The 24370-nt window shown below is 39.2% G+C and overlaps 1 protein-coding gene across 10 annotated transcripts in view; it reads left to right on the plus strand.

Moving 5' to 3' along the window:
• The window catches only part of RGL1 (ral guanine nucleotide dissociation stimulator like 1), a 292424-nt gene that overhangs the window by 102738 nt on the left and 165316 nt on the right, over positions 1–24370 (plus strand). For all 10 annotated transcript variants that reach the window (XM_011509339.4, XM_047415682.1, NM_001297669.3 and 7 more), the window contains one exon: positions 3280–3443. In XM_011509339.4, coding sequence (XP_011507641.1) covers positions 3312–3443 — 132 coding nt within the window. In that variant the 5' untranslated portion in view covers positions 3280–3311. The remainder of the gene's footprint in view (positions 1–3279; positions 3444–24370) is intronic.

Raw genomic sequence — 24370 nt, forward strand, 5'->3', positions numbered from 1 at the left:
GCCAAGACTGCACCACTGCACTCCAGCCTGGGTGATAGCACGAGACCCTGTCTCAAAAGAAAAAAAGAAAAGAATAAAGAGAGTATGGAATAAAATGCTAGATTTGAAGAGGAAAAGGACAGGTTGGTAGCAGGACTGGCTATATAATTTGTGGGGCTCAGTGCAAAATGAAAATAGAAGTCCCCTTGTTCAAAAATTAAGAAGTTTAAGGTAGCAACAGCAAAGCATTAAACCAAGCATGAGGCTCTTCTGAGCATGGGGCCCTGTGTGACTTCATAGGTCACACACTCATAAAGCTCACCCTGGTCAGAAGTTGAGATGTCAGTAAAAAGGAAAAGGAATGATCCATTCCCTGTGATGTTTTCCTACCTCTATGCCATCCTTACCTATGTACTCATCAGGTGTGACCATCTCTCAAGGGGGCACCATTGTGCCAGTGAGCTGAGGCACAGACACTGGCTCTAGTCTATGGAGGAAGGAGCATGAGAAGGAGGTTGCATTCTACCAGCGGCGGGAGAGTAGGATGGAGCTGAAGGCTTTCTGAACTGATCTAGGAGAGAGAGCATGAACTTGGGAACTCTGCAACTTTCTAGCAGTGTAGTAAAGTTATTTAACCTCTCTGAATCTTATTTTTTCATTGCCGTAAAATGGTGATATCTACCTCTCAGGGTTACTGTGTGGATTACAGATAATGTGGAAAATGCCTAGCACTGTGGCTGGTATGCAGTGGAAGCTCAAGATATATTGTACATATGGTCATTTTTGTAAGTGCGGAGATACACTGAGGATGAGTGAAAAAGACTTCAAGTCTCAGATAGGGTGGAGGATCTCAGAATGCTTGAAGAGCCTTGTAAGAACTGGCTGCCTCTCTTGAGTCCCTCCTTAGTTCCTGAGTGCTTTGGAATCGTTTAAAACTCACAATTGCATCTTCTTCCCAAATAGGGTGAGGAGCAATCTGTGGGAAGTCAGTGCACAGTAGAGTTCAGTCTTCCAACGCTGAAAATTTGCCAACTTTCACCCACACTGTGGAGATGAGAAAGCAGCTGTGGGCAGACAGTAGAGTAAGCTGTGGGGTCTCTGGAACATGTTACGCTTACGGATGTTCCATTGTTCCCATGAGATTTTGTACTTTGTCTGTTTTATCCAGGTTTGTTTCCATAATATACGAAGGAGACAGCCAAAACCATTTTATGTAGTTTTCCTACTTTGTTTTGATTTATTTGTTATTATTTACAGTATTATCTCCAATAACAACAATGGAATTTCCTTTCCTACTAATCTGGCCTGTTTCCATTTTGCCTGTTTATTTTAATTTCCTTTTTTTGGACTGAAATCTCTACATGACTCTGATTTGTTTATTTCCTTGCGTGTATGTGTCAGCATCATTTATTAGTGTGTCCACTCAGAGGAACTTTGTTCATTAATTATGTAGGTTTTGTTTCCTGGTTCCTAATGGGAGGGTATTAAGTGCTCTATGTTTCTAAGTACTTCACGATGGTTTTGGTTATCAGTTTCTTCATCACTGCTCTCTGCAAGTAGATGGGCTTACTCTCCATGGCTTACAGATGGAGCATGGGAAGCCCCAGAGCAGAGAAGTAACTCCTCTGCAGATGATGATTTTCTTAAATCCGCTGACCCGTCACGCCTGCCACTCGTATAGATTTCAATTTCCACTTACTTTTATTTGGGTAGTGGGTTAAGTGAGCATAACACCTGTGTTTTGCAGACGTGATTCCTTGAAGACATTTCCATGAAAACCAGCCTGTTGTTAACGAATGAGCAATATCGTCTTGCATTATAAGCTGCTTGGGGGGTGTGTGATGAATGTTAGACTTATCCCTTTTTTGTGAAGAACTTACAGCCCACTAAGTCAATAAAAAAGTTAAAAGGAAGAGGTAACCTGACTTTTACATCTGTTACTTGAATATATAAGATCTGCTGCCTCCTTTTCAATGGATTGTCATGATTTACTAAATGATTGAATTAATGATTCATAAAACATTTATTTAGTACTTACTCTGTGTGTGATACTATCTCTAGTCTCAAGATGCTTATAAGACTAGAAGGCGAAAATAGAATTGAAAGCAAATAAATATAATAAAATGTTACAGGTGACATGATAGAAGTTTGTCTAGAGTACATAGAATAACAAAGGAGGGAGGCCTGTATTCTCTTGGGATGGGGATTGGAGAGAAGGTGTCACAAACAAAGGCTATAGGCACCAGATGTATCTGGGGTCCATAGATACTTTCAAATGGCTGAAACAGTGGCTGAGGAGGCAGCAGTGCATGCATGAGGTGGGAGAAGGGAGGTGGAGAAAGCCAGACACAAAGATCCTTGGATGCTGTGTGAAGGAATTTGGGTTTTATTCTTTAGGAAAAGTTTTAGGTAGATGGAACATCAGTAACAGTTTTGCTTTTTAGAAAAATTACACCAAGAATAGACTCAAGGAGACTTGAATGGAGGCAAGGAGACTCTTCTGATAATATGGGGCTGAGCCAGGCAAGATATGATGAGATTCTGAGCAAGCCAGTGGTGGATGGAAAGATGTCAAAGAAGTAGACCTTGTAAAATTGGTATCAATTTTTAAATAATATCTTACAGTAACTGTTAGCGAAACCAAGGCCCAAGAAAGTGCATAGCCAGTGAATATCAAAGGGATCTTCCTCTGCCTTCATTGCAGTTTAGAAACACAATTATTGTGGCATTTCAGACACTACGTTGTAATACATCATATTGTTAATACTTGTTTACAATCTTTCTGTCCTGAGGCTCTAAGCTTCTTAAGGTTAACAGCCAAACTACTGAATTATTTGTGTATGCCTAGCATGGAGCCTCATATACACAAGTGCATAATAGATGTTTGAAGAGTAAAACTCTTGACATCATAGCCAGTGCTTCTTCCACATGGAGCACTTGGCATGAAAATATGAAAACATCACTCAGGTTTGCCTGACAGCCACCCATTTCCATCACTCCCCCTGAGAGCACCAAAGCCAAGTGATGAGCAGGTATAACAGGCAGATGATGGCTTGCACTTTGCTTTAAAATTTGTATCAGTTTGCCATTATCAGAATGCATTCTTACCTCCCAAAGCCTGCATTAAAATACCAATAATGAATATTTAGAATATAAAAGTGGCCATAAAAGTTGATGCCTATTATGATACTGTCTTTAATGGTCTCACTAGTCAGAAGTCAAGCATGATAATTTGCTTCGATGTCTCTTTTAATGTTACCCATTGTTTTAACCTGGATCACACTTTATTCTTCCACACAGATCCGTAATGCCTCCTGCCTGCCTCTTTCAAGATGGAGGTGAAACCTGTGGGAGAACCTACTCAAGAGGTGTCTAAATTCAAACTTTCCACCAAGGTAGAAAGCACGGGACACTGGCTGGTGGAAGATCATGTTCGAATATGGGAAGTTTTAAAGACAGAGGAGGTAAGATGACTCTAAATGACACAGTTGGTGAAATGTTGGATTTGTTTATACCTGAGACCATAATTCTTCGTGTAGCCAGCACCACAGGCCAGCTTGGCAAATCTTTATTCAGGGGCTGTAGGCACAGCCATGACTGGAGAACAAGTAAGTCAGGAGCATGTCCTTTGCACATTAATGACTACACAGTGATTCAGGCCAAGGAGGCTGCACTGAAAGCCAGCGCTTAAAAAATGATGATCTAAGGCTCATATGCATATAATCTGCACTTTAGCCTCAGGTATCAGCAGTGTAGCTGTGGGTATCCCGCTAGCTACATTCTTTCTCAAGGCTGCCCTTCTGTGACTTCCCTCTCTCAAGCCTATTGTTGTTGAAGTTTCATTTGACTTATATAAAATGCTGATATTTGTGTGCATATTTGTGGGGGGTGTGTGTGTGAGAGAGAGAAAGAGAGAGAGGGGACGGGGAGAGAGAGAGAGAGAGATGCTATTATTCTTTCAATGGAAATTATAAATTAAAGCTTTTATTTTTATTATGCGTTTGAGGTAAAATACATATTGGCAAGATATTGAAAACCATTTCCATATAGGCATGAAGAGGTATAAAAGGAAGATTGGAAAAGAGAATGGAGTTATTAACCAGATCATGGAAAGGCCTAATTTCCCTGAGCTTGGGTTGTGACCATCTTTTCAGCTCAGCAAATAAAATTAAAGCTAGAGGTTTTTATGTTTTTGTTTTTTTTGGAGACAGGATCTTGCTCTTCTGTCCAGGCTAGAGTGCAGTGGCACAGTCATAGCTTACTGCTGCCTGGAACTCCTGGGCTCAAGTGATCCTCCTGTCTCAGGCTCCCAAGTAACTAGGACTACAGGTCACACAACACCACACCTGGATAATTTTTAAATTTTTTGTAAAGATGAGACTCTCGCTATGTTGCCCAGGCTGGTCTTGAAGTCCTAGCCTCAAGCAATCCTCCTGCCTCTGCCTTCCAAAGCACTGGGATTACAGGTGTGAGTGACTGTGCCCAGCCCCAAAAGCTAGAGGTTTTAATACATGGGAAAGAGCATCTCAGAGAGAGGTAGCAAAGCAACAACTAAGATAGCATAGAAACGTAATAGGGAAAACAGAGAACACTTTGTCAATGGTATTTTGGCTACCAGAAAGACCAGCAGCTGTTTTCTGAGAGGCTTACCTGGGTGATATTCATTATCTTGGGTAGTTGTCTAGGGTCTGGTCCTTAGCTTACATGCTTGGAAATTTTATTTTCTCATGTATCCAACAGAACTTTCTGGGGCAAACTCACATGAATTAAGTTTATGCAACTAATATATAAAAAGAAAATGGCAATTCCTTAATTGATAAAGACAAATAGAAGAGTTTTATCTTCTGGAATACTCAATTTAAAATGTTTAGCACACATTCTCCTTGTAGGCAAACCTAATGGGAAATCAAATAATGCTGAGAAAGTTGATTCCTAAGGATGGAATCATAACAAGTGGAAATATATAAATTCCTTGTTTGACAGCATGAGGCTAAGTATATTGGTATGGCTCTTTGGTTCCAAGTAACAGAAATTGACTAAATTAAGGAGAATGAGAAATTGCTGGAGGATGTTGAGAAGCTTACAGAATTGGTGAGAAGTTTGGAGGACTAGGCTTGGAAATAAGACAGGAACCAAGTCAGTAGAAACTGCTCAGGGTGCCAATCCTGGCACAAATTCTAAACTGGTCCCTTCCCCTCCATATTCTCATATTCTGCTCAGGATGCAAAGCTGTGGGAGAGAGGAGCTCATTGCCAAGTTTAGTTGCATGCCTTTCTTTTGGTTATTCTGTGAAGAGAAAGAGGAATCTTCCATGGGAAATTATTATACCAACTCCTCACTACAGTTGTGTTTAAAATTCAAATTCCTAATATTGACACATTATGACAATTCCAATCCAAGGAAGTAACCTAACAACTAGTTTTGAACATGTAAAATCCAGCAGAAGCAAATACAAGCCTTCTCTATAGGGATATACTTGCACAACAGACTTTTTTTTTTTTTTAAAGAAATAAACTCCACAGGTGGTAGATGAAGTCTTTGTGTATCTTACCTAACAGGTCCAAGATAAGATGAGATGAGTGTTGTGCTGAGGGCACAAAATTTAAGGAAGCACTCACTCTTAGGTTTATGCCCTGTACTTGCACAAAATTGAGAGTGAGTGTATCCTTAAATTTTGCACCCTAGGCTTGATGCTTGTCTCACTCCAGTCCTGGCCCTGTCATAAATCTGAATTTGGTGTTTATCATTTTTATGCATATTTCAGTATTTATACTACATGCATGTGGATCTATATATTCAATATACAGTATTGATTTACATCTTGTAAATTTTATATAAGCCTTGTACTGTACATCTACTTCTACAGCTTGTTTTTTTGTTTCTATTTTTATGCTGACATATGTAGTTTCACTTTATTCATGTTTAACTGCTGTTTATATTATTTTAATATAGTCAAATTTATTTCTTCATTCTCTTGTTGATTAACTTTTAGTTTTCTTTCAATACAATTGGCAGTATAATACATTTTTCCTCGTGAACATATGCTAGAGTTTTTTCTAGCATAGACACCTGGAAGTGGCATGCTGAGTTGTAAAGTATGAATACCTTTAGTTTTGCTAGATATTACTAGATCAGCTCTGAAATGAGGCCATGAGTTTGTATCTCTGTTAGCAGCATATGAAAGTTCAACCATTCTATATCCTCACCTGTTATTGGTATTGACAGACCTTTAAATATTGGCCAGTCTGTTTGTTTTGAAATGGGACCTTGTTGTAACACAAATTTCCCTGAATTCTTGTGGCATTGAGCATCTGTTCACATGGATATTGGCCATTTAGTTTTCTGTGAATTATCTGTTCTTATCCTTTGCTTGTTTCTTTTCATTGGGTCATTTGTCTTTCCTTGTTGATTTCTGGAAACTAATGTTTTGTTTACTAAACAATCCTTTTTATTGATTTCATGCACTAAAACAATATTTTCCCACTCCTAAATTTTTGTTTTAAATTTTAATTTGGTAAAATTTATGTCTTCTTTTCTCCTTATGGTTTGTGTTTTTTCTGCTTTAAGAAATTATTTCTGACCTCATGATGATAAAGATACTCTCCTGTGTTTCCTAAAAGTTCTAAAAGTTCTAAATGTTTGCTTTTATTTGCTTAGTATTTATTTCACAATCTGAAATAGGGATATGTGTTTTTTCCATATGGATAATTAATTATCTAGTGTCACTTTTGAATGTTATTGTTTCTTCTTCAGTTTATAATGCTATTTTTCATGTATCATGTTTCTATAGATATCCTGTCTGTGGATATGATACTCATTTAACTATTCTAGCTCTAAAAAAAAGCCCCGAGTATCCAGTAGGGAATGTTTCTCTGCTGAGCTATTGATCTTCAAGATTATCTTGGTTGTTTTTGGAAACTGCATTTTCCATATGGATTTAGGATGAGCTTGTTCAGTTCTGAAGATATGAAGAAAAATTAAGCAGAAACTTGTTGGGAATTTGATTTGGATTTCAGTAAATTTGTTGACTGATTTGGAGAGTATCAACATTTTTATATTCAATGGCTATCTTGTCTTCTTTTTGACTTTAAAGGTTATGCTTTAATATTTCATCCTTAATGTCTCACCAATATTTGATCCCACATTCTTTTGCTGTAGGATTTTGATAACTAAGGCTAAAGAAGTTCCTTCAATTCATTTTTTTTTTTTTGCTAAGTGCTTATTTTTTAACATTATAGTATTTGATACCTACAAAATAATACACATGCAAGTTATGGATTATAATATTGTGGAATCACAAATACTTGTGAGTCCACAACCAACTTAAGAAATAGTTTGTTGAGTCTATATGTGAACTGTTTCACCTACTATCTCTTTGATTTCTTTCCCTGCAAAGGTACCCATCTTCCTGAAAGTTGTGTTTAATCATCCTTTTGCTTTTTAAAAAGTCTTTACTGCATATGTGTATCCTCAAACAATACTGTTGAGTTATACACACACACACATGCACACACATATATACACCTACATATGTATGTATATATAAACACATATATATTTATATGTATGGTGTCTTTGGTGACTCACTTCTTTTACTCAACATTATGTTTATAAAATTTTTAAGATTCAGCCACAAAAATATATATAGTAGTACTTCATTAATTTTCACTATTGTACAATATGCCATTGTGTGGTTATATCATGATTAATTATTCATCGTTATGTGGATGAACATTTAAGTTATTTATAGTTTTTTGCCATGATGAACAATGCTGATATGAACATAGTATACATGTATTTTTTTTTTTTTTTTAGTTTTCTTATATATTTTTTTAATATACTTTAAGTTCTGGGATACATGTACAGAACATGCAGGTTTGTTATACAGGTATACATATGCCATGGTGGTTAGCTGCACCCATCAACCTGTCACCTACATTAGGTAGTTCTCCTAATGTTATCTCTCCCCTTGCCCCCCATCCCCCAACAGGCCTAGGTGTGTGATGTTCCCCTCCCTGTGTCCATGTGTTCTCAAGTTCTCATTGTTCAACTCCCACTTATGAGTGAGAACATGCAGTGTTTGGTTTTCTGTTCCTGTGTTAGTTTGCTGAGAATGATGGTTTCCAGCTTCATCCATGTCCCTGCAAAGGACATGAACTCATCTTTTTTTTATGGCTGCATTGTATTCCATGGTGTATATGTGCCACATTTTCTTTTTCCAGTCTACCATTGATGGGCATTTGGGTTGGTTCCAAGTCTTTGCTATTGTGAATAGTGCTGCAATAAACATACATGTGCATGTGTCTTTATAGTATAATGATTTATGATCCTTTGGGTATATACCAAGTAATGGGATTGCTGGGTCAAATGGTATTTCTGGTTCTAGATCCTTGAGGAATCACCACGCTGTCTTCCACAATGGTTGAACTAATTTACACTTCCACCAACAGTGTAAAAGCATTCCTGTTTCTCCACATCCTCTCCAGAATCTGTTGTTTCCTGACTTTTTATTGATGGCCATTCTAACTGGTGTGAGATGGTATCTCATTGTATACAATGACCCCTGATGATGAGCGTTTTTTCATGTTTTTTGGCCGCATAAATGTCTTCTTTTGAGAAGTATCTGTTTATGTCCTTTGCTCAATTTTTGATGGGGTTGTTTGTTTTTCCTTGTAAATTTATTTAGGTTCCTTGTAGATTCTGGATATTAGACCTTTGTCAGACGGAGAGATTGCAAAACTTTCCTCCCACTTTGTAGGTTGCCTGTTCACTCTGATGATAGATTCTTTTGCTGTGCAGAAGCTCTACATTTATTGATTTGCATATGTTGAACCAGTCTTGCATTCCAGGGATGAAGCCAACTTGATTGTGATGGATAAGCTTTTTGATGTGTTGCTGGATTCGGTTTGCCAGTATTTTATTGAGGATTTTCACATCGATGTTCATCAGGGATATTGGCCTGAAGTTTTCTTTTTTTGTTGTGTCTCTGCCAGGTGTTGGTATCAGGGTAAGGCTGGCCTCATAAAATGAGTTAGGGAGGAGTCCCTCTTTTTCTATGATTTGGAATAGTTTCAGAAGGAATGGTGCCAGCTCCTCTTTGTACCTCTGGTGGAATTAGGTTGTGAATCCATCTGGATCTGGGCTTTTTTTGATTGGTAGGTTATTAATTACTGCCTCAATTTCAGAACTTGTTATTGGTCTATTCAAGGAGTTGACTTCTTCTGATTTAGTCTTGAGAGGGTGTATGTGTCCAGGAATTTCTTCTAGATTTTCTAGTTTATTTGTGTAGAGGTTTTTATAATATTCTCTGATGGTAGTTTGTATTTCTGTGGGATCAGTGGTGATATCCCCTTTATCATTTTTTATTGTGTCTATTTGATCCTTTTCTCTTTTCGTCTTTATTAGTCTGGCTAGTGGTCTATCTATTTTGCTAATCTTTTCAAAAAACCAGCTCCTGGATTCATTGAGTTTTTGTGTCTCTAACTCCTTGAGTTCTGCTCTGATCTTAGTTATTTCTTGTCTTCTACTAGTCTTCTACGAGCTTTTGAATTTGTTTGCTTCTCTAGTTCTTTTTTTTTTTTTTTTTTTTTTTTTTTTTGAGACGGAGTCTCGCTCTGTTGCCCCAGCTGGAGTGCAGTGGCACGATCTCGGCTCACTGCAAGCTCTGCCTCCTGGGTTCACACCATTCTCCTGCCTCAGCCTCTGGAGTAGCTGGGACTACAGGTGCCCGCCACCACGTCCAGCTAATTTTTTATATTTTTAGTAGAGTTGGGGGTCTCACTGTGTTAGCCAGGATGGTCTCGATCTCCTGACCTCGTGATCTGCCTGCCTCGGCCTGCCAAAGTGCTGGGATTACAGGCGTGAGCCACCTTTTATTTGTAATGTTAGTATGTTGATTTTAGATCTTTCCTGCTTTCTCCCGTGGGCATTTAGTGCTATAAATTTCCCTCTAAACACTGCTTTAAATGTGTCCCAGAGATTCTGATACATTGTATCTTTGTTCTCACTGGTTTCAAAGGACTTATTTATTTCTGCCTTTATTTGGTTATTTACCCAGTAATCATTCAGAAGCAAGTTGTTCAGTTTCCATGTAGTTGTGTGGTTTTTAGTGAGTTTCTTAATCTTGAGTTCTAATTTGATTGCACTGTGGTCTAAGAGACCATTTGTTATGATTTCAATTCTTTTACATTTGCTGAGGAATGTTTTACTTCCAATTATGTCGTCAATTTTAGAATAAGTGCTATGTGGTACTGAGAAGAATGTATATTTTGTTTATTTGGGGTGGAGAGTTCTGCAGATGTCTATTAGGTCCGCTTGGTCCAGAGCTGAGTTCAAGTCCTGAATATCCTTGTTAATTTTCTGTCTCATTGATCTGTCTAATACTGACAGTGGGTTGTTAAATCTCCCACTGTTATTTTGTGGGAGTCTAAGTCTCATTGTAGGTCTCTAAGAACTTGCTTTATGAATCTGGGTGCTCCTACATTGGTTGCATATATATTTAGGATAGCCATCTCTTCTTGTTGCATCGATCCCTTTACCATTATGTAATGCCCTTCTTTGTGTTTTTTGTTCTTTGTTGGTTTAAAGTCTGTTTTATTAGAGACTAGGATTGCAACCCCTATGTGTGTCTTTACATGTGAGATGGGTCTCCTGAATACAGCACACCTATAGGTCCTGACTCTTTATCCAATTTTCCAGTCTGTGTCTTTTAATTGGGGCATTTAGTCCATTTACATTTAAGGTTAATATTGTTATGTGTCAATTTGATCCTGTCGTCATGATGCTAGCTGGTAATTTTGCACGTTAGTTGATGCGGTTTCTCCATAGTGTCGTTGGTCTTTATATTTTGGTATGTTTTTGCAGTGGCTGGTACAGGTTTTTCCTTTCCATATTTACTGCTTCCTTCAGGAGCTCTTGTAAGGGAGGCCTGGTGGTGACAAAATCCCTCAGCATTTGCTTGTCTGTAAAGGACTGTATTTCTCTTTCACTGATGAGCTTAGTTTGGCTGGATATGAAATTCTGGGTTGAAAATTCTTTTCCTTAAAAATGTTGAATATTGGTCCCCACTCTCTTCTGGATTCTAGTGTTTCTACAGAGAGATCCACTGTCAGTCTGATGGGCTTCCCTTTGAGGGTAACCTGACCTTTCTCTCTGGCTGCCCTTAAATTTTTTTCTTCATTTCAACCTTGGTGAATCTGATGATTATGTGTCTTGGGGTTGCTCCTCTTGAGGAGCATCTTAGTGGTGCTCTCTGCATTTCCTGAATTTGAATGTTGGCCTGTCTTGCTAGGTTGGGGAAATTCTCCTGGATAATATCCTGAAGTGTGTTTTCCAACTTGGTTCCATTCTCCCCATCGCTTTCAGGTACACCAATCAAACGTAGGTTTGGTCTTTTCACATAGTTCCATATTCTTTGGAGGCTTTGTTCATTCCTTTTCATTCTTTTTTCTCTAATCTTGTCTTCACTCTTTATTTCATTAAGTTGATCTTCAATCTCTAATATCCTTTCTTCTGCTTTATTGATTCAGCTATTGATACTTGTGTATGCTTCATGAAATTCTTGTGCTGTGTTTTTCAGCTCTATCAGGTCATTTATGTTCTTCTCTAAATTGGTTATTCTAGTTAGCAGTTCCTGTAACCTTTTTGAAGGTTCTTAGCTTCCTTGCATTGGGTTAGAACATGCCCCTTTAGCTGGAGGAATTTGTTATTACCCACCTTCTGAAGTCTACTTCTGTCAATTCATTAAACTCATTCTCCATCCAGTTTTGTTCCCTTGCTGGTGAGGAGTTGTGATCTTTTGGAGGAGAAGAGGCATTCTGGTTTTTGGAATTTCAGCATTTTTGGGCTGGCTTCTCCTTATCTTCTTGGATTTATCTACCTTTGATCTTTGATGCTGATGACCTTTGGATGGGGTTTTTGCGTGGGCATCCTATTTGTTGATGTTGATGTTATTTCTTTCTCTTTGTTAATTTTCCTTCTAACAGTCAGGTCCCTCTTCTGCAGGTCTTCTGGAGTTTGCTGGAGGTTCACTCTAGACTCTGTTTGTCTGGGTATCACCAGTGGAGGCTGCAAAATAGCAAAAGTTGCTGCCTGCTCCTTGCTCTGGAAGCTTCGTCCCAGAGGGGCACCTGCCAGGTGCCAGCCAGAGCTCTCCTGTATGAGGTGTCTGTCATCCCCTGCTGGGAGGTGTCTCCCAGTTAGGAGGCATGGGGGACAGGGACCCACTTGAGGAGGCAGGCTGTCCCTTAGTGGAGCTTGAGCATTGTGCTGGGAGATCTGCTGCTCTCTTCAGAGCTGGCAGGCAGGAATGTTTAAGTCTGCCGAAGCTGCACCCACAGCTGCCCCTTCCCCCAGGTGCTCTGTCCCAGGGAGATGGGAGTTTTTTCTATACACCCCTGACTGGGGCTGCTGCCTTTCTTTCAGAGATACCCTGCCCAGAGAGGAGGAATCTGGAGAGGCAGTCTGGCTACAGCAGCTTTCCTGAGTTGCGGTGGTTTCCACCCAGTCCGAACTTCCCAATGGCTTTGTTTACACTGCGAGGGGAAAAGTGCCTATTCAAGCCTCAGTAATGGTGGATGCAAGCTCGAGGGTCCCAGGTTGACTTCAGACTGCTGTGCTGGCAGTGATAATTTCAAGCCAGTGGATCTTAGCTTGCTGGGGTCTGTAGGGGTTTGACCTGCTGAGTGAGACCACTTGGCTTCCTGGCTTCAGCTTGCTTTAAAGGGGAGTGAATGGTTCTGTCTCGCTGGGGTTCCAGGCACCACTAGGGTATGAAAAAAAACTCCTGCAGCTAGCTCAGTGTCTGCCCAAATGGCTGCCCAGTTTTGTGCTTGAAACCCAGGGCCCTGGTGGTGTAGGCACCTAAGGGAATTTCCTGGCCTGTGGGTTGCAAAAACTGTGGGAAAAGCTTAGTATCTGGGCCAGAGAGCACCATCCCTCATGGCACAGTCCTTCACAGCTTTCCTTGGCTAGGGGAGGGAGTTCCCTGACCCCTTGCACTTCCCAGGTGAGCTGACGCCCCACCCTGCTTATGCTTGCTCTCCATGGGCTGTATTCACTGCCTGACCAGTCCCAGTGAGATGAACTGGGTACCTCAGTTGGAAATGCAGAACTCACCCACCTTCTGCATTGGTCTTGTTGGGAGCTGCAGACTGGAGCTGTTCCTATTCGGCCATCTTGCCAGATCCCCACATACTATACATATCTTATTTTTGCCCATATGTAAGAGTTTTTCCAGGTTAATAGCTATTAGATGAATTTTGAGTTGATATGTGCAAGTTCTCTTCTTCAAGTTATTGCCAAACTGTTTTCCAAAATGGTGGTACCAATTTATGCTCTCATCCACAGTGCATAAGAGTTTCCCCTATTCCCTATCCTTGTCAATTCTTGGAATTGTCAGATTTCTTAATTTTTTTTTTTTGAGATGGAGTCTCACTCTGTCACCAGGCTGGAGTGCAGTGGCACAATTTGGGCTCACTGCAACTTCCGCCTCCTGGTTTCAAGCGATTCTCCTGCCTCAGCCTCCTGAGTAGCTGGGACTACAGGTGCACGCCACCACGCCCAGCTAATTTTTGTATTTTTAGTACAGACGGGGTCTCACCATGTTGGCCAGGATGGTCTCGATCTCTTGACCTTGTGATCCGCCCACCTCGGCCTCCCAAAGTGCTGGGATTACAGGTGTGAGCCACTGTGCCCAGCCCAGATTTCTTAATTTTTTAAATCTAGATGATATAAAATAGAATCTCATTCTTTGCTCATCAATTCTTTATGCATCTCAGCTCGAGAACACTTTTTTTTTTCCTTTGTACTTATTCTGAGGGTCTAACAGTAACACATCTCTTTCTCTCTTTCTCTCTCTCTCTCTCTCTCTCTCTCTCTCTTTCCCCTTTCCTCTCTTTGGCCTTAAGATGTCTTTATTTTGTGTGCTTCTCAGAGTGATAGTTTAGATGACTATAGAATTATAGTTCTTTGAGTACATTGGAAATTTTCCATTGTCCTCTGCCTTCCATTGCACTGGAAGGGGAGCTAGCATAAAGTTTAACTTGTATTATTTTGAATGTAACATCTTTTCTCTATAACTGTTTAGATCATCTCTACATTTTTTGCTGTCCTGAAGTTTCATTCTTCTGTTTTTCCATGTGGGTTTCCTTTTATTTAACATTTTGGGGTACGAGGGCTTCTCAAATAGATGAATTGATGTCTTTCATCCGTCTGGAAATATCTCCAATTTTTTTCTTTTGAAATTTTACCTCATTCTCCTTTTGTAACTCTAGCAAGATTTATGTTTGCTTCTCTCACTCTCTGCTTATGTCCCTTAACCTCTCTTTTAGAGTTACTATCTTTTTCCTCTCTGAGTTGCATTCTTATTAATCTTAGGTCTGCCTTCCAATTCCGTAATTCTCTCTTCAGCTTTAATCTGTCCTTTAACTCAATCATTGATTTTTAAATTTCACTTATTGTATTATTTACTTCTAGAAGTTTTGTTTTGTTCTTTAAAAATCTTCTAGTCATTTTTTCAATGTCTTGCTTCCTATTTATATTTTTATTTTTTCAAGACATATTTGTCAAGAACTGTGAAGGCTATGAGATTTTAATTTTTTAAAATCCACAGTTTTGTGGATGTTGAAAGAAGACATGAGACTCTTGGCTAAGAGCAAAAGACTTTATTACTCACAGCAAGAGCAGCAGCCAGAGTGTCAACATGTTTGTTTTGGTTTTCTATGTTCCAATTCCTAGAAATGGGCCTAGATAGATACCTGCACAGGAAGGGAACATTGACCTTGGGAAACTTGCCATTTTATAGTAGGTAATAAACAAGCTGGCATTTTGTTTAAGGGGGAAGTATTAGCTCATCTCTCAAGTTTTCTTGCTACAAGCCCAATCCTGAAAAATAATCTGGGTAAAGATCAGCCAGGGCCTTGAATTTTTGGCATATATAGCAAGACATGTAGGAACAAGAGAGATCCATGAAGTAGTGTTGCCTAACAATATTAAATATAGTGATTTTGTATTCTGAGTGTGGTAATTCTAAAAACTGTGGGTCTCAGTGTACTATCTGTTGTTTCTTTTGGCTCTTGAACATGGTGTTTTGTTTCTTTGTGAGTTTTGTGATTTTTGACAGTGGGTTCATTTTTTTTTTTTCTTGGAAAGAAGGAAATTTTCTCCAGAGAGAATTTGCATTTGTTTCTGGGAGCACTACCAACGGGAAACTACTTGAAAATAAATTCTTATCTTGATGTTTTTCAGACCACTTAATGTGTCTACAGGCTAGAAATCTACAGATGGGCGTGCTTGTGGTAGTAAATTCTAAGGAGAAAATGACTCCCCCTCTCTACCCCTCCTCAGCATCATATATAAAGATAGTCAACTTTCCTTGTATTGTCACAGAAGATATAGTATTACTAGCTCACCTTGATGCTGAGGGAATCACATTTTAGGGTCTCAGTTTTATGCAGTGGGGATTTCCTGTTAGATTCTCTCCCATAAGCTAACCTTGGGCTTTGTATATTGTTCCCTACTTGCTTTAAGGTAACAAGTCCTATGTTGGTTAGAGTAACATTAATGCTGTAACAAATACAGTATAAAATTTAAGTAGCTTAACATAATAAAAGTTTATTTCTCAATCATATAATAGTCCAATTTAGGTGTTTCTGGTGGGAGTGCCCCTTTTCTCCATGTGATAATTTAGGGACCAAGGCTACTTTCTTCTTGAAGCTCCACCATCCTCTGGGACCTGGGAATCTTTTGTATTCACCTGGCAATTCACAAAAAAAGAGGTTGAAGAAGACACACCCAATTCTTAACTCTCTTTGACCAGACATGCATTGTATTAGTTTACCTTCTATGACTGAGAATTAGTCCTGTTGTTCCATACAGATGTGAGGGATGTGTGATGGGGAGATGTAATCTCTGGCTGAGCTGCTACTTACCAGTGATGACTCAATACTATGGAAAGTGAAATACAAATTGAATTTTGGTGGGCAGTTAAGTGTCACAGAAAACAAAGTTTAAATTTACCTGGTTTGGCCAATGACGTCTGAATGGAAGCTGACTTCAATGCCTATCTGTGGGTTCTGCTTTCATTTACCTTTTGGCTTTTAAGAGTTCTTAATTTTTTGCCAGCCTGTCATGTATTAAAAAAGATATTTTAGTTTTATTTTATCAAGTTTTTGTTTGTTTGTTTGTTTGTTTTAGTTATTTGTAGTGGGAGAGTGAACTAGGGTATTTAGTCCACTGTACTGCTGGAACTGAGTCCTACACACTCCTGTGAGTTATTTAGAAATGTGATCTTAAAAGTTGAAAGTCTATTTTTTTAAACTTACCTTTTGAAAATTACTTCACTTGGTCAGAAAGTGGCATCTAGATAATGTTGAATTTCTATTTTTTGGCCATATTTAGTTAATTTTTTGGCCATATTTAGTTAAGTACCTGCTTGCACATGAATATTCGTAACTGACATCTTGCAATCATTTAAAAGTTTTATGTAGTCACAAATCAGTTTGTCAAGTATATTTAAAATGAAAATATTATTTTCATTTTCAATGTAGTGATTAACTGTAACTATTCTATGCCTTTAAAATTCAAATATTTAAAATTTAAATGATAAATAATACCTATATGTAGTAGAAAATAATGAAATCTTTATTAAAGGGTTAAGTATGACAAATATCTTTATATAATTTCAGTACCTTTTTAAAAAAAAAGAGCAAGGAAGCAATGGGAGAATTGGACATGTTTTGTGGTGATGTGTTCAATTTTTTGATTGGTGATTACATGGGTGTACGTATTTGTCAAAACTCATTCAACTATACATTTAAAATGGACATATTTTATTATATGTAAATGATACCTCAACAAAGTTGATCTTAAAAAACGGACAATGGGATGAGGGAATAGAATTAAATAAATAAATCAGTCATTGCCATACAGTGTGCTGTAATAAGTGTCCACAGGTATTTCGAGAGCTTAGAGCATGTAATCCAGCATGAGTATGGGCACTCATAGGTGTGCATGTCAAGGAAAGGAAGCTTCTCACTGAGCTGATAGTTGAGTTCATTCTTTTTTTTTTTTTTTTTGACACAGAGTTTTGCTCTTGTTGCCCAGGCTGGAGTGCAATGGCGCAATCTCGGCTCACTGCAACCTCTGCCTCCCGGGTTCAAGCGAGTCTCCTGCCTCAGTCTCCTGAGTAGCTGGGATTACAGGTGCCTGCCACCATGCCCAGCTAGTTTTTTGTATTTTTAGTAAAGACGGGGTTTCACCATGTTGGCCAGGCTGGTCTTGAACTCCTGCCCTCAGGTGAACCACCCGTCTCGGCCTCCCAAAGTGCTGGGAATAAAGGTGTGAGCCACTGCGCCTGGCCTGAGTTCATTTTTTTTTTTTTCTTTGAGATGGAGTCTTGCTCTGTCGTCCAGGCTGGAGTGCAACTTTGACCTCCCTGGTTCGCTTAAAGGAAAGGTAGAAACTAGCCTGGCAAATGGAATTTTTGAAGGGGAATTGGATCAAATATTTCTGGATCAGGGAAAACTGTAAAGGGGAGTGTTAGAGAGAATGTCCTACCATTTAGAGCATCTGTAGCAGAAGAGGAATGGCAAGAGATGAAGCCAAGAGGAAACAAATAATGAAAGTCTTCACGTCTCTTACTTAGAAACTTAGGAAGTATCCTGTGGGCACTGTGCAGTCAATGAAAGGTTTTTGGCAGGCTAGTGACATGTTCAGATTTGTTTTTAGAAATGCTAGTCTGTCAGACATGTTTAGGATGGCCGAAAATACTTCAAAACCTCTCTAGCCCAGATTGCTGTCTCTCTTCTCTGTCCACACTATGCTAGCCAGTGCTCAAGTAGTGATTATTTGGGGTTGTTCTTTTTTTCATGATAGTAATTCTTCCTCTCCAACTAGACTGTCTGTCCTTCAGACCAGGCCTCTTAGTCTTCTTCTTTTTAAAAAATTTATATTCCCATATTGATAGGTCACCCCCTTAGTCTTAATTCTACTTCACTTATGACTCCCAAAGCACTGGTACTACTAGACACAGGTTGAAATAAATATTTGATGATTGACTGATGAATTATTTTCATTATTTAATGGTAATACCCTGTTTCTCTAAATTGTAACATCAAGCAGAATGTTGTCATCTTTGGGTACTAAGGTGATTCATTTGACTCACCATTGGATAACACTTAGTTGGGTGGTTTGTTTGTTTTTTTTTTTTTGTATTGCTGATTGAATTTGCACGGAGTCATCCACTATGCACTGGACTTATCTATGTTCAATGTTTTACAAGAATACCACAACGATATGCAATGTTCTCTATGGCTATCGAACAGAGATGTTCTCTACGTGAAATTAAACTGGCGAATGTCTGTATGGAGACTGGACATATGACCTCTTCTCTATCCAGCTCAGGAATGGGGCTTCACATTGTAAAATCACATTCTTGGAGGAGGAAATAGTAAGTGTTCATCATGCATGCTTTGGAGATTAAATCATACACATCTGAGAGACAGGAAGAGAGAAGTTTTTAAAAACTGGATGGCAATTTAGGCAAGCAGTGGGAGTGTATTGTATTAAACTGTGAAAAGCCAGCTATTTGCTGAATTGTGGTTTGATGACAGAGCTAGGGTCCTTCTTTATGATTCTGAATGAATTTCTATTTCACTCTGCCACAAATTTTCATATGAGGCAAAGGGATAGAAATTTACTTTCTAGGAAGTTATTAATATATAAAAATGCTTTGATATATGAATCTCTGAGATGGGTAAAATAGACATATCAGTAGTGAGAAATGGAATATTGAGACTGAATAATATTCTGTTGGGTTTACAAGAAAAAGAAAATATCATTTATTGAGCATCTATTCTGTGTCAGGAACTGCACTTGGTGCTTTCATATTTATTAATATATTTGTCACAGCCATAGGTACATTTTCATTTTACTCATAAGGATTATGAAGATTAGAGGTTAAGGCACATGCTCAAATATACATAGCTGTTTGGTGGCAGAGTAAGATTGAAATTCATTTGTCTCTCATTTGTCTTTGTTCTATAATCTCCTCATGAAGCAAACTACCAAAATTGTTAAATCACTCTAATTTTACATTTAGTTTTCTTGTCCAGACCATAACCATTCCTGGCCAGGGCATCAACTTCAGCTCAATAACTGGTACCAATCTTGCTCTGTTAGACCTTGGCTCTGCAATGCCCATGTGAACAAATACCAGTGTGCCCATTGAGTCATAATCTTCTTCCATTCCTCAAAGTGCTGGCTCAGTTGGTGTGGCTAGGCTTCTATCTCAGTTCTCCTATATATCATCTGTCTTAGCCAGTTGGACTGCCACAATGAAATAGCACAGACTGGGTGGCTTATAAACGATAGAATTTTTTTTTTTTTTTTGAGACGGAGTCTCGCTCTGTCGCCCAGGCTGGAGTGCAGTGGCACGATCTTGGTTCACTGCAAGCTCTGCCTCCTGGGTTCACACCATTCTCCTGCCTCAGCCTCCAGAGTAGCTGGGACTACGGGCGCCTGCCACCATGCCTGGCTAACTTTATATATATTTTAGTAGAGACGGGGTTTCACCGTGTTAGCCAGGATGGTCTCGATCTCCTGACCTTGTGATCCACCCGCCTTGGCCTCCCAAAGTGCTAGGATTACAGGCATGAGCCACCGTGCCCAGCCAACAATAGAAATTTCTCTCTCACAGCTCTGGAGGCTGGGAGTCTGACATCAGGATGCCAGCATGTTTGGGTTCTGGTGAGGTTCCTTCTCTGAGTTACAGATGGTGTCTTCTCAATGGGTCCTCATGTGGCAGAAAAAGTTGGAGAGCTCTTTGGGGTCCCTTTTATAAGGGCATGAATCCCATTCATGAAGACTCTACCCTCATGACCTTATTGCCTCCCCAAAGCTCTGCCTCCTAATATCATCACACTGAGGGGGTTCTGTTTTCAACCTAACAAAGTTTGGGAACACAAACATTCAGTCCATAGTAGGACCCAGTTTCTCAGAGAGACTGTACCTATTTAAATGGTGCCCTTAACTCCATCCTATTTAAATAGAACTTAGAACTCTGTTAGGCTCCATGTAGCTCTGTCTTCTGCATAATTGAGCTCTGTTCCACTTACCCCAAGCTATTAATTGGGGTCTAATTGTAAACAGTCTGTTTGGAACCTGGCTATTTTTACCCAATCCCTGAACTCCTGTTGCTTTCTTGGATATGAAAGCTTGCCAGAATCACATCAGAGTTTTCCTATGCCCTTGTTTTGTGTTCCTTCTGAGCTTGGTTAGTCACGTGCAGCCATAAGAGATACAAGAGAGGCTCAGGAAAAAACAAAGGTTATTACACTTGCAGGTCCTAGAGAGAGGAGATATTCTGCATGGGAAGACACGATTGTGGTCATGAGGCAGAAGACAAGAGTGAGTGGGAAGCTTAGATTACTTCTGTATTGGGGTTTTTGAGGAAAAGGCATGCCACGGCAGGGAGAATGTTTGGGATTGGTTAGTTTGAACACTTTTGGTGGGTTTTCTGCTATAGGAGTAGTTTCTAGTTGCCTAGTACCTGGCCCTGGGATGATTAAGGCAGATAAATACTGTCTCCTGAAGTATCCAGGCCAAACAGAGGAGATAAGGCTTTTGCTTGGTTAATTTGCACATCAAAGGTATGCTCTCTGACTTTTGTTATCTTTAAGAATTAGCTAGCCCAGGGAAGGCAGTCTCTCCCAGTTGTAAAGTTTTTAAAGACATCAAAACATCATAATATACAGAAAATTAAAAAATATTTACAATACAGTCCTTGGGACACATCTTACCAAACAGCCTGCTACTACCATGGGACACATACCTCTAGTCAGGGAAGTCTCTCCAGCTCCAGTTTGTCAACTGTCTTATTCTTTTCCATTGGCCCTTGTTGCCAGTCTCAAGATTCCTTGTGATTAAGACCACCTGAATATGACATGATGCATTTAATAAGTTTCTTAGTCTAAACTAAAGGTGGATACTGAGGATATTAAAGCTTTCATTATGGTTAAATTTCACTGTTGGTATTAGAATGTGCTCAAGTATCACCTCTTCCAGGAAGACATCCTTGATTTTTCTGGTCAGGGTTAGTGACCCTCCTGTGTGGTACTGTAATATCTCTGCATATCTATCTTATAAGACTCATCACATTAATGGTACACACATACCTCGTGGATACCTGGTTTGTTTCCAGACCACCTCAGTAAAGCAAATATTGCACAAAGTAAGTCACATAAATTTTTTTTTGTTTTCCCAGTGCATATAAAAGTGATGTCTACATTATACTGTAGGCTATTAAGTGTGCAAGAGCATTATATCTAAAAAGTACATATCTTAATTTAAAAATACTGTATTTCTAAAAAATGCTAATGATCATTTGAGCCTTCAGCAAGTCATAATCTTTTTGCTGGCAGAGGGTCTTGCCTCAATGTTGATGGCTGCTGGCTGATCAGAGTGGTTGGCTGCTGAAGGTTGCAGTGGCTGTGTTTCTTAAAATAAGACATTAATGAAGTTTGTCATATCCATTGACTCTTCTTTTCTTGAAAGATTTCTCTGTAGCATGCAATGTTGTTTGATAGCATTTTACTCACAGTAGAACTTCTTTCAAAACCAAAGTCAGGCTGAGCATGGTGGCTCCCACCAGTCATCCCAGCGCTGTGGGAGGCTGAGGTAGGAGGATTGCTTGAGGCCAGGAATTTGAGACTAGCCTGGGCCATATAGCAAGATCCAGTCTCTGCAAAAAAAAAAAAAAAAAAAAAAAAACAAACCTGGGTGTGGTGGTGTGTGCATGTAGTCCCAGCTACTCAGGAGGCTGAGGTGAGAGGCTTGCATGAACCTCAGCAATCCTCACTCAGGAGGCTGTAGTGAGGTATGATTGCACCACTGCACTCCAGCCTGAGCAAGAGAGCAAGACCCTATCTTTAAAAAACAAACAAAAAATGAAGTCAGTGCTCCCAAACCCTGCTGCTACTTTATCAACTAAGTTTATGTAATATCTAAATCCTTTGTTGTCATTTCACCACATTCGCAGCCCATTCCTCAGGAGTAGATTCCATCTCATCTCAAGAAACCACAGTCTTTGCTTATCTATAAGAAGTCACTCGTTGTCCATTCAAGCTTACTGTGAGATTGCAGCAATTTAGCCTATCTTTGGGCTCCACTTCTAATTCTAGTTCTCTTGCTATTTCCATTGCACTGGCAGTTGCTTCATCCATTGAAGTCTTGCACCCCTCAAAGTCATTCATGAGGGTTGAAATCAACCTCTTTTAAACTTCTGTTAATGTTGATATTTTGACCTTCTCTCATGAATTATGAATGTTCTTAATGACATCTAGAATGGTGAATCCTTTCCAAAAGATTTTCAATTTACTTTCCTAGATCCATCAGAGGAATCATTATCTATGGCAGCTATAGCCTTATGAAATATATTTCTTAACTAATCAAACTTGAAAGACAAAATTACTCTCTGACCTATGAAATGATATTGTGTTATGAAATGCTGTGAAATGGATATTGTGTTAGCAGGCATGAAAACAACAATCTCCTTGCACATCTCTGGCTCTTGGGTGACCAGCCACATTGTCAATGAGCAGTAATATTTTGAAAGGAATATCTTTTTTTCTAAGCAGTAGTCTCAATAGTGGGCTTAAAATATTCAGTAAGCTGTATATGCTGTAAATAGATGTGCTATCATCTAGGCTTTATTGCTCCATTTATAGAGCACAGCCAGAATAGATGTAGCATAATTCCTAAGGGCTCTAGGATTTTCAGAATGGTGAGTATTTGCTTTAACTTAAAGTAAGCAGCTGCATTAGCCCCTAGCAAGAGAATCAACCTCTTCTTTGAAGCTTTGAAGTCAGGCATTGACTTTTCCTCTCTAGCTATGATAGTCCAAAACGGCATCTTCTTCCAATATAAGACTATTTTGTCTACATTGAAAATCTGTTGTTTAGTGTAGACACCTTCATCAATGATCTTAACTAGATCTTCTGGATAACTTTCTCTTGCTGTAGCTTCTGTATCAGCATTTACTGCTTCACCTTGCACTTTTAAGTTATGGAGATGTCTTCTTCTCTTAAACATCATGAACCAACCGCTGCAAGCTTCAAACTTTTCTTCTGTAGCTTCTTCACCTCTCACAGCCTTCATAGAACTGAAGAAAGTTAGGGCTTTGCTCTGGATTAGGCCTTGTTAAAGGGAATTTTGTGGCTAGTTTGATCTTCTGCCAGACCACTAAAACTTTCTGCATATCAGCATTAAGGCTGTTTTGCTTTATCATTCATCTACTCACTGGAGTAGCATTTTAAATTTCCTTCAAGAACTTTTCCTTTGCATTAACAGCTTGGCTAACCATTTGGCACAAGAGGCTTAGCTTTTGGCCTGTCTCAGCTTTTGACATGCCTTCCTCACTAAGTGTAATCATTTCTAGGTTTTGATTTAAAGCAAGAGATGTGTAACTCTTCCTTTCATTTGAACACTTAGAGGCCATTGTAGGGTTATTAATTGGCCTGATTTCAATATTGTCATGTCTCAGGGAATAGAAAGGCATGAGGAGAGGGAGAGAGACAAGGGAACAGCCAGTCAGTGGAGCAGTGAGAACACACACAGCTTTGATCAATTTTTTTCCAGCCTACATCATGCTTTGAATACATAATAGTAATTTAAAAGTTTGAAATATTGCGAGAAAATTACCAAAATGTCCAGAGACATGAAGTGATCACATACTGTTGAAAAAATGGCAAGACCTGCTTGATGCGGGGTTGCCACAAACCTTCAATTTATTATGCAGCCAACAAACATATGAAAAGAAGCTCATCATCACTGGTCATTAGAGAAATACAAATCAAAACCACAATGAGATGCCTTCTCACACCAGTTAGAATGACCATCATTAAAAAGTCAAGAAACAACAGATGCTGGAGAGGGTGTGGAGAAATAGGAATGCTTTTACACTGTTGGTGGGAGTGTAAATTAGTTCAACCATTGTGGAAGACAGTATGGCAATTCCTCAAGGATCTAGAACCAGAAATGCCATTTGACCCAGAAATCCCATTACTGGGTATAAACCCAAAGGATCATAAATCATTCTACTATAAAGATACATGCACATGTATGTTTATCATGGCACTGTTCACAATAGCAAAGACCTGAAACCAATCCAAATGCCCATCAATGATAGACTGGATAAAGAAAATGTGTCACACATATACCATGGAATACTATGCAGCCATAAAAAAGATGAGTTCATGTCCTTTGCAGGGACATGGATGAAGCTGGAAGCCATCATTCTAAGCAAACTAACACAAGAACAGAAAACCAGACACCACATATTCTCACTCATAAGTGGGAGCTGAACAATGAGAACACAGGGACACAGGGAGGGGAA

This window comes from Homo sapiens, chromosome 1, assembly GCF_000001405.40.
Source record: "Homo sapiens chromosome 1, GRCh38.p14 Primary Assembly".
Classification (NCBI taxonomy): Eukaryota; Metazoa; Chordata; class Mammalia; order Primates; family Hominidae; genus Homo; species Homo sapiens.